The sequence below is a fragment of the Homo sapiens genome, chromosome 14 (genome assembly GCF_000001405.40).
Source record: "Homo sapiens chromosome 14, GRCh38.p14 Primary Assembly".
NCBI lineage: Eukaryota > Metazoa > Chordata > Mammalia > Primates > Hominidae > Homo > Homo sapiens.
In genome coordinates, this window is record NC_000014.9 from 66,091,747 (window position 1) to 66,103,173 (window position 11,427).

At 46.5% G+C, this 11,427-nt stretch overlaps 2 annotated features.

Moving 5' to 3' along the window:
• Positions 1,215 to 1,715: an enhancer, noted in NCBI's record as "H3K4me1 hESC enhancer chr14:66559679-66560179 (GRCh37/hg19 assembly coordinates)". NCBI's record gives its function as "activates a minimal SCP1, AML or CMV promoter by ChIP-STARR-seq in primed H9 embryonic stem cells {active_cell/tissue: H9 hESC(primed)}" and the evidence as "EXISTENCE:reporter gene assay evidence [ECO:0000049][PMID:30033119]".
• Positions 10,938 to 11,107: an enhancer, noted in NCBI's record as "experimental_35366 CRE fragment used in MPRA reporter constructs". NCBI's record gives its function as "activates a minimal promoter by MPRAs in K562 erythroleukemia cells, with activity observed for the non-introgressed 14:66569487 variant allele {active_cell/tissue: K562}" and the evidence as "EXISTENCE:reporter gene assay evidence [ECO:0000049][PMID:34662402]".

The following is an 11,427-nucleotide window of genomic DNA, read 5'->3' on the forward strand; positions in this document are numbered from 1 at the left end:
TTTTCCATTATTCTCATTATTTATTTTGTTGTTCAAATTGTCCCAAATTTAACCAGTGAAAACTTTTTAAAATAGGCTTTTCTGTCCTTTTGACATATCCCCAACAGTTTTTGAGTACTTTCTTACTTTCTGGAAACATAAGATGTTCCAGGTTTACCTTGTACTTTTTCTAATCTAGCCTAAAATGAGCCATTTCTCCAAGGAGCTCTCATTGCTTTTACTGGAGAATGAAATTTAAAAACTAGCGTTGGTTCTTAATGTGCCTTTAGTTACAAGGGTAACATTAATTCTAGGTCCTCTCAGCAGACAGAACTAGAAGATAAATCTGTGTACACACACACACACATCTATATCCTATAGTTAGCTTTTAAATAAAGACTCAAATTTTGGATTATAATTGACATTTACTAAAATCTGCTTAGAAGAGGAAGAAATGGAGAAGTTCAATATCTCAGTGATTCAACTCCTCAGTCTCAAGTCTGAGAAGTTTTAGGTGTTCTCTTGTATGCCTTTGCATGGAACATTTATGCAGAAATAGATTAGTAACTAGAGAAAGCTGTCAAGGATTTCTTCCTAGTAACTATTTCTTTTTTATGGTTAGATGTAACTTGTGACATAGGGAAGCTTGAGTGTAGGGGTGTCTTGTGATACAAGGGAACCAAGGAGTCACAAGGGAGGTCTTTGTCATGGTGAGGTCAGTTGGCTGGCAGGTCTCCTCCATACGTAGGACCTGCATTCAGCTTTTTATTGGTTCATTCTTAAATACAATTGGACAGGTCATCAACAGGTATTTGAGAAAGTCTCCTACATGAAAGACAGAAATTATAATAAACAATAAAAAAAGAAATTTAGGACTATCAGAAACATGCAGAGAATAGGAGGAAAGAAAAGCAACAGTTAAGAAGACAGATAAGAAATATAACTGTTAAACAAGATCAGAGTGCTATTTAAAAAGAACATTCAGAGAATAAGAACTCTTGAGGATTAAAAGTATGTTGTTATGGGATCCTTGGGCTGTTGCTTTTCCAGCTGGAAACCTCTGTGGCCAGTGGTGCCTTTGCCCAAGTTTTGCTCGGCCCCTGCAGGCTGTGCTCAGCTCACGCTTCCGGCCTGGATCCCACGTCTGCCAAGGGTGAGTGGGGCGGCGAGGGGTGTGTAAGCAAGTAAGCATGGGGTCCAGCCACTGAGCACAGCCAGGCATGCTGGCTCCAGTGGGGTGGGCAACCCCAGGCACCGGCAAAGGGGCTGGTTCCCTGTGAGGCGGCAGCCGGACCAGGCGTACCACAGGGAGTTTCTACGGCTGACACCAGGAAATGTGTTGTCACCCAGAAGCTTGGAGACGCCAGGAATCACAGAGCCCTAAAGAGGCTGTCACAGCCCCAGCTTGGCAAGCTCTTAGGTCTGGGCTCCCTGAAGGGCTGCAGCTCTTTTCTCCTTCTCTCTTCTCTCCTTGTTGCTCACAACGTGGTGAGCAAGGGGCATGTTTCAGTCCTGTTTGTATTACAATTCTTTTAGCCCTGCCATCTGTCAGGTCCCAAGTTCTTGTCCTGAGTCCAGGAAGAATGAAGTACACAGACAAGCAGAGGGTGAGCAAGACAAAGAGGAGCTTTATTGAGTAACAAACAGCTCACAGGAGACCCGCAGTGGGCAACCCCTCTCTGGTGTCCCAACGGTGTCCCAACGAGTGTTCAGCTCTTAGCAGAAAGGGTAGCTCCTCTCCGCTGGGCAGGTCATCCTAAGGAGTGTTCAGCTCCTAGCAGAGAGGAGACCCTAGGGTAGATAGCACCTCTTTGCAGCTGGTCTCCAGTCATCTCTTTAGGTCTGGCTGAGTCCCAAGCTTTTTATGGGTCTCAGAGGGGAGGAAGTGCGTGCTGATTGGTCGACGGGCGGGCCTGGAAAAAACACCGCATGTTCCCACTCCGGTTCACGGGAACTGCAGCCCCGCCCTCAGGGTTCAGGTGCTCCCCAGCTTGAAAGTGGGGATTCACAGAGGACTCGTCCCCTTCTGCCTGTTTGCCTCCTACTGCCATTCATGGCATTCAGGCTATTTGGGCCAACAGGCACCTGTGTGCCAGCACTGAGCTGCCCTCAGGCCCACCTGGACTCCCTCTTGTGTTCTTTGGCGCCTAAAGTCCAGCGGGGCGAGGAGGCAGGGGGCTGGCGTGTCCACACTGCCTCGAGCGTGCACACACCTGCCCAGGCTGCGACAGCGTCCAGGCTTGACTACAACTTTGCTCCAAGATCAGAGCAAGTGCAGGGAGCGGGGAGAGGCCAGGCAGCAGGAGCAGACACCTCTGAGCCTGCGGGGGCAGGGCGCGGGTCCTTCCCGACCCCGAGAGTGCAGAGATGCCTGGGTGTGCAGCCATGACTTGGGTGGCTGCAGCTGCACCTGGGAGGGCGGGGCTCCTGCCTGCTCCCAGCCCCTGCTGGTTCCGTGCAGAGTGGAGCGCACCACCACCCTGGACCTACCTCCGCCTCGAGGCCCCTCTCTGCCCGCCCCTCCATGCCCGACTGTGCTGCTCCCCCAGCAGCGGACAACTCAGCCCGACCCCATCACTGCGGCTCCCAGGGCAGTGGGCTCTGAGGGACTCCCAGGGGTGGGCTCTAGGGACTGCCCACCTCCTGTCCGCATTTTCACCGCAGCATCGGTGGACAAGGTGCAGGTGGCATGGCGGCCCTGGCCAGCCCCACAACAAATAAACCTGACGCTCTCAGAGCTGTCCCAGTAAGTCCCGGCTGTGCCTTCCGCCGGGTGCTCGCAGGCTTCCGAGATGCAGCAGGAAGCAGGGTTGAGGCTGCAGCGGAGGCTCTGGGTCTGGGAGCGGGTCCTGCCCGGCTGTACGACGATGGAGGTGGCGTAGTCAGCTGCCTCGGGGACGCGAGTCACAGGGGCCCACCATAGCCACTGCTGCTCCTGCAGTCACTCCTGCCACCACCACCTACGCCTCCAGCTGCAGCTGGCACGATGGCAGTGGACGCTCTGGAGGGCCTGCCACTGCCATCAAGGTCGGCTCATGACTGTAATCCCAACTGTTTGGGAGGCCAAGGTGGGAGGATCGCTTGAGGCCAGGAGTTTGAGACTAGCCTGGGCAACATAGTGAGATTCCATCTCGACAAATAGTTTTAAAAATTAGCTGGGCATGGTGGCACACACTTGGGCTACTTGGGAGACTAAGGCAGGGGGAATCACTTAAGCCCAGAAGTTCAAGACTGTAGTGAGCTACGATTGTGCCACTGCACTCCAGCCTGGGTGACAGAGTGAGACCCTGTCTTTAAAAAAAAAGTCATAAATTTTTAAAAGTTTAATAGAAAGATTGGAAGGTAAAGGAGAAGAGAGACTCTAGAAGGCAAAATAAAAAGATCAAGATAATTTCTTCTTTTTCCCTTTATGAACAAGTCAGTCTCAAAACCATGAGATGAGGCTGAGAAAAGTGAGGGTCTTTACCGTGTGGAGGCTAAGGGAGGGGAGGGCATGTGCTGGTGCAGTGCAGGAATTGGAGCCTGACCTGGGGGTGTGGGGGTGTGGTGGCCTGGTGCAGGGTGACCCTGAAATGGTATCTGTGCAGGGTCAGAAGCCCTGCTTGGGGTGTCTGAGCACAAGAGGAGCGAGGAAGATATCCACATAGTTGGGGGCTCAATGGCAGCCTGGCACAGGGAGTCAGATCCTGACTAGGATGAGGCGGAGATCCTTGTGGGGGAGGGAAAGACGGCTTTGATTGGGAGTTGGTTTAAATAAAGCCATTGATCAGATAAGTAAAGATGTTAAGATATCACTCTCAGAAAAGGAAGTTAAAAATATGGAAAAAGAGAAAACTAGAATGAACCTTATGGTATTAGAGGTATTGGAATGAACTTATATATTGTTTTCACTATAGATAGATATAGGAATAAAAATGTATATATAGTTATGTGTATACTGTTTGTGCATTTGTGTGTGTATTTTGTGTATTACACTCTGAGAGGGCCTGGCAGTGCCCCAATAGCAATGAACACAGCACTCAGATCTCAACTTCTAAATACCATTGACCACTAGAAAGATGGCTAATTCCAACACTAAGGTGAGTCTGAAATATTTTGTATGCCTAAAAGTAAGAAAGCTCTCAAAGAATGATGTGACATATCAAAAGATCCAGAAATCGGCTGAAATTGGGGACATTCTGAGCATCAAAATCAATAATGATGGTAGGGGATTATAATCCACTGAACATAATAGGAAACCATGAGTCATACGCATATAAATACTGACTATATGGGAAGTTTGATGAAGAAAAGGATATTTACAGAGTTTCAGAATTCCTTTCCATAAAGTACTTGTTAATTACAAAGGGAAAAAGTGCAACTTTACAGAGAAGTGTGGCAGATATCTCCTTAATCAAATGATCAAAGAGAACATCATCAGGGATAGGACGAATCAAAATCATGCACCACCTGAGCGGATGCAGTGCAAATGCTCTGCGGCCCATCTGTGAAATCTGCTACCAAAGACGCGTGACCTGAATCGAATCAAAAGAAAGCATCAGGCAAACCCAATTTGAGGGAAAGTCTACAAGATAACTGGCCTGTGATTTTCCAAAGTGTCAAAGTCATGAAGGAAAAATTAGATTAAGAAGACTAAAGAGAAATGACTAACTGCAATATATGATACTGAACTGGATCTTTTTGCTGTTGAGGACATTATTGAGGAAAACAGAAAAACTTAACTGGGGTCTGAGAATTAGATGGTAGTCATGTATAAATGTTAATTTTCTAATTGTTATGCTTATTTTGTGTTTTTGTGGGGGAATGTCCTTGTTTGCAGGAAATACAGACTAAAGCAGTGAGATGTCATGATGTGTCATCTTCACAACTTGCTTTCAAATGGACTAGGAAAAAAGTTCTTTTTCTTTTTCGTATCTGTGAATTTCCTGTAAGTTTGGGTTTGTCTTAAAATGTTTAAAAATGGTTAATGAATAAAAGATCAATAAAAGATTTAAAAGTGTTAAGAATGGTTAATTAAGTAAAATCATGAGAAAAAAATATTTTTGAACGAGTTAGGGGTTTAGTTCAGGAAATCCAACATCTGAATCCTCTGAGCTCCAGAAGGACAAAACAGAGTAAACAGAGGGGGACAAGATTTTCAAAGAAATGTAAAAGAGACAAATGTCACAGACCACAGGACATAAACTTTCAGATTAAAAGGCTCACCAAGCTCTCAACACAATACATGGAAAAGACCAAGGCATATAATCATGACAGTTTAGAGCACTGGAGATAGGAAAAGATATAAAGAGTTTCTGGAAAGGAAACACAACAAAACAGGTCACATTATCTTAAGTGAAACAATCCAGGCACAGAAAGTCAAACATTACATGTTCTCACTCATAAGTGGGTGCTAAAAAATGTGTACACATGGATGTAGGGAGTGGGATGCTGGACAACGAAGACTCAGAAGAGTGGCGGGGTGGGGGGTGTTGGGAGGAGAATGAATGATGACAAATTAGTTAATGGGTACAATGTATGTTATTTGGGTGAGGAATATACACTAAAAGCTATGACTTGACAACCACCCAATCTCTGCACATAACAAAGTTGCACATGTACTGCATAAATTTGTGCAAAAAGTAAAACAGGTCATATACTCTTTATAAGGCAATTATTGACTTAAAGAGTAAATTGTTTCTCTTTCTCTTTGCCAAACCTCAAGTAAATAAAATTATTTTTATAAAACAATGACTGAAATGCTCCGAACTAGAAGAGACACACATCAGTCAAAAGAGTTTTTGTTCAACAAAATTCTGTCATTTTCAACTCATGATAATGTCAAATTATAGTCAGATAATACTCAAACTAGTTTCTCAGCCTTTTTCTTTAAAGAGATTGCTCCTTGAATGGCATCAAACATCAGAATAGAGATTTGAGACCTGCCTGCCACTTGTTTTGGGAAAGCTGAATGAAAGAGGTTTGTGGAAGGAAAAGATCTGCAGACACCAGCTGCTCACCGTGTCCCCCTGGAAGTGACCAATCTCTTTCATTTACACCAAAAGATGTTTCACAGGTGCCATACATTAAAGCTTTTTCTTTGTCATGTGGGGCTCCAAGAAGTGGATGGCCTCTATTTTCTGACAGATATTCTATAGGTATTTATCATGCAAAAGTTCTCATGACATTGTGTAAGGCATGAAGAATAAAACCCTCGCTTCATCCTCGTTTTGTTCTATTCCTTTGATTACCTAAAATTTTCTCTTGGGAATGGAGCAATGTAAGACTTGCTAACCCATAGTCTCCGAGAATCAGCTCTCCAAATCCTTACATTTCCAGATGAAAAATGCTCCTGAGAATCCCTGTTGCACGCATAAAGGAAGAGAATCAGAAAGTGTCAAACTTCCCAACAAAGTCAGTTAGTTCCCTACAAAGTCAGTCAGTTCCCTACGGAAAGGCCAAGACTGATCCTCATGGCAAAAGCAGCAGCTGTATATTATGACTAGTGTTTGAAGGAAAGAGAGAAAGCTATGATTCCAAACCCTGAACTCCTCCAACAACAGCTGCTGCAGGATACTAAGGGCTATCAGTGGCACAATGAACACCTCTGAAAGGCAGGGCAGCCGATGTAGCACCTTCGTGAAAATTAGAAAAAGGAGGCCTCTTTGGGCAAACATCCCCAGGCTCACAGTGTTGTTGTGCCCCTTCCTCTGGACAGAGTCATCCTAATTAAAGGAACATAAACTGGACACAATCCCCACTTTTTGCTACCTCAGTCAAGACCTTTGTGTCTCAAATGCACAAAACACCCATCATACATGGTGGCCCTGAACATTCGGCCTAACCTGGTCCTCAGCTGGTGAGCTGGGCTGGAAGCAGATCAAGTGGCCCTCTGGCTTTGTCCCCAAGGCTGACATCCTGCTTTAGGCATCCATTCTAACTGCTCTGTTGGTGAGAAGCACAGGGGGACATACACAGGAAGAAAGGGGATTTCTGTCTTGTGGAGTCCTAATAAAATAACTAAGTAACAATGAGGAAAGGGCACCAGGTCCCGCTGCTGGCACAACATCCTGTTCCCAAATACCTCTCTCCTTTCATGGAGCCCCAGCAGCACGATCTTATATGCAAACTTTGTCTGCATGTAGCCCCTCCAGCATGACGCTATAAAACTTCCCCCAGCCCCCGCCTCTTCGCAGACAGCCCTTTCTCTGCTGAGCTGCCTGTTGCACTCCTGCAACATATCTTCATACTTTCTCTAATAAATCTGCCTTTCTTTACCTATGATTGTCTTGGTAAATTCTTTACTGCCTGTGATGCCGGCCCCAGCCAGTCACACCTGTTACATCTCTCAGGCTCTGAACATCTGGTCCATTCCTGTCCCTCTATGCCTTCCTTCTGCTCCCTTTAGGCCCTGCTTGCAGTACACGAGGAGCAGGGACTCCTGTCCAGTAAGAGGCTGCCTCAGGCCCATCTTACCACTGATACAAAAGGGCTGGGCTGCCAGCTAAACCCTACCCTTAAGCCTGGAACTGTCGCCCTAAGGGAAAAGAGCTGACCTGGTTCTTCCACCCAAATGTTGCCTTTTTGGCCTGCCTCACCCCTATCCTGTGCCCATAAAAGACTTCAGCTAGCAGAGCAACACAAGTGGCTGAGCATCGAGCAGAGAAGCAATCACCGTTGGAGACTACAGATAGACACAGCTAACTTCAGATGGTGCAGCTTCAGAGAGGGGCCCAGCTAGAGAACACTGGGCTTCAGGGAAAGATCACCTCTCATCCCCTTTCCAGCCTCCCTTTCCACTGAGAATCACTCACCACTCAATAAAGTCTTCCACATTCATTACCTTTCAGACACTTTGTGTGACCTGATTCTTCTTGGATGCTGGACAAGAACCCAGGTGCCAAGAGGGCAGGTGCTGCCCACCCCTGCCCTCCACTGAGCTGGTTGGCACTTGGCCATCCCCAGATGGCAGAGCTGAAATAATACTGGTTGTAACATGCTTGGACGCTGCTGCGGGGCCCGCACGGAGCCTGCTCCTGCCAGAGAGGAGCAACTGGCTGGTTCCAGCATTCATTCAGCCTGGTTTCTGCACTCCTGTGAGGAGTGGCCAGCAGTGGGCTGAGTGAAACAAGCCAGTTCCTGCACACGAAGGGGGTAAAGGGAACTATCCCATCTCACCACAACTTATTAAAGAAAGCCAAATGGATTTTCTCCCAAGTTAATCCAATTAGGAAGAAGAAGATGACAGCAGGAAAAAGGGAACCCACAGGTTTGACAGCGAGAAGGATTGCAAAAGAAGGATATTCTCCTCAGAAACAAGAATTTTTAACTTCTTCTCCCTTCTCCCCAAATCCTACTATCTTTTGAAGTCAAATTAGTGGCCCTCAAATGAGTCAAACCCAACCCTAGAGGTTGGAATATGACTTCACAGTCACAAGAGCCAGGTTATGCACTGGTGGCTGCAGGAGAACTTGAAGGGTGACACATAGTGAAACCACCTTTGCAAAAATTGTATCAGAGAGAAAATTATGAAAGTGGAGGAGATCTGATCTAACCAATCCCTCTTGTGCCTTTAGCCTTTAAGCTACCTTTAATTATTCCTGGGCTATCTTTGGGAGGCTTTTAGTTTATATTTTAAATGATAATAGCCCTTCCCCAAAACTCAACTGCCTTTGTAAAGCTACTGAGAGAACACCAGCTTAGGGGAATGTAAACCAAAATTCAAAGTCCCCCTGAACGCTGCCACCATCTGAATGGACTCCCTCCTTGGCCAGGGCACTCTAAAATTTAACCTGAAAGACTGCTCAGGCCATGATGAGAAGTGGGGTTCAGATGTGCCTGATTATACCTCTCCGGAATCAAGACAGACCTTAAGTCGGCTACAAAGCATTTACGATCTATTGTCTTTGTCATTATCTATTATCATTATCTATTATATTATTATCTATTATCTATTTGTCATTACTGTCATTATCTGTCATTATCAAATCTATTGTATTTGTCATTTACCTGGAGGTTTTATCTGCATGATAAAACCTTGGTTTCCACAACCCCTAATCTTAACCCAGATATTCCTTTCTACTGATAATCTCTTTTAACCAAGTGACATTTAGAATATGTTTAAATCTACCTGATCTGGAAGTCCCCCCACTCCCACCTTAGGCAGAGGTCCTCATGACCTCCTGATGGTGTGTCATGGGTGCATACTTAACCTTGGCAAAATAAACTTTCTTTCTTCTTCTTCTTTTTTTTTTTTTTTTGAGATGGAGTCTCACTCTGTCGCCCAGGCTGGAGTGCAGTGGCCCCATCTCAGCTCACTGCAACCTCCACCTCCCGGGTTCACGCCATTCTCCTGCCTCACCCTCCCAAGTAGCTGGGACTGCAGGTGCCTGCCACCATGCCTGGCTAATTTTTTGTATTTTTTTTTTTAGTAGAGACGGGGTTTCACTGTGTTGGCCAGGATGGTCTCATCTCCCGACCTCGTGATCCGCCTGCCTCGGTCTCCCAAAGTGCTGGGATTACAGGCATGAGCCACCGTGCCCGGCCATAAACTTTCTAAATTAACTGAAACCTGTCTCAGATATTTTGGGTTCATAGGAAGGAGGGGGGCCTGAATTCTGCTAAGGTGTAGACATAAATGATTGCCAGCCATTATTCCAGAGGTCATAAGATATGCAACTTCCCCAGTTACTCCTGCAGATAACATCACTATTGTAGAATTGGAAGACTGGCCTTTTAAGATATCTTCTCAGATTTTTTGCATATCTGAAATCTATGGCTCCAAGGACCCACCTACCAATGATGACTCCACCTGGACCTGCCATCTGTTCCTGTGGCCCCACCCAGAAGCTATTCAGTGTCCAGGAGGATCATTTCCCACACCCCTATGCTTGCACCCCCTAACCAATCAGCAGTGAGCCTCCTTTGCCTACCCAACCTCACCCCATCCCCAAACTACCTTTGAAAAACCCTAGCTCTCCAATTCTCAAGGAGACCGATTTAAGTAATAATAAAACTCCCATTCAGCTGGCTCTGTGTGAATTAAACTCTTCATTGCAATTCTCCTGCCTTGACAAATTGGCTCTATCTGGACAGCAGGCAAGAAGAATCCACTGGGGAGTTACAGTAGAACATAGAAGCTACCAGGGACTGGGCCAAGGGAGAGGGAAATTTGAAGTCCCAGCAGGCCCACTGGGAACTCATTGCCAAAAGTGGTTTCTGTTATCACTCTAATAATCACTCACATTCTCTGAACACTCTGCTTAAGGCTAGGATGACCTGGGAAGTGGAGGTTACAATTTAAAAGGCTCCAGCTGGATGTGATAGGGACAGGAGACAGGGAAATACTGGTTAAAAGAAGGTGGTTCCCAGCAAAAGCCCCACCCTCAAGCTTGGAAATCCGAGGCCCTATATGGGAACATGCATTCCTGTTTTCATGCCTGCCTTGCTCCCCTATCCTGTACCCATGTAAGTGCCAGACCCCAGGCCCCAGAAGCAGATGAGGAGATGATCAGAAGAGCAGCAGAATGGCAGAGCAGCATAGTAGAGAGAAGAGGAGCATCTGAATGTCGAGAGGAGTTTGGCTGGGGACAGTCAGAGAGGAGATCAGCCACTGGACAGCCGAACTCCAGGGGAAGATTATCTTCCCACTCCATCACCTTTCCAGCTCCCCATCCATCCCACTGAGAGCCACCTCCACCACTCAAACCCCTGCATTCACCATCCTTCAAGTCCATGTGTGACATGATTCTTCCTGGACACTGGACAAGGACCTGGATACCAAGAGGGCATTGAGCTGGTTAAGACTTAAGCTGTCCATGGTTGGCAAGGCTGAAAGAGTGCACTGTAACACATGCCCACTTGGGTTTCGAGAGTTGCAGACACCCACCCTTGGATGCTGCCATGGAGCCAGAGTCCAGGGGAGCTTGCTCTGGCTCCTGCACCTGCCCATCTATGTGCTCCCCATTCGGTAAGGGATTTGAGCACACATGGCAGCCAAACAGATGAGCCATACCCCTGTCGCATGTACTGTGAGGAAGGGCCAGGGAACTCTCCCGTTTCAGATGGAAATCCTTAGAATGACAGCCCCAGCAGCTCCCCAGTGCTATGAGAAGCACCTGAGGTTCATGAACAATGTGTCACTCTCATGTGACAGCTTTGCCTCATCAATATGAGGCAGAAGGACACCCACTAAAGTTTATCTACACACCAAGAGAATTTAGACTCAGCATTCTTGATGCCTTTGCTCCTTCTATCTGCCCCTGAGCAATCAGTATCACTGAAAGGAAGAAAAATTATCCTTAATTACAGCAAGTGGATTTAACATTTTCCATCTATCCTCAATTACTCTTATCTCTCCCCTTGTCACGCTGTGACCAAATGGAAAGCAGCCTCTAGGTCCTTGCCTGCATACAACCCACCAGCCATTGGGGATATATTAAATTTTGTCTTGACCTTACCTCCACTCCA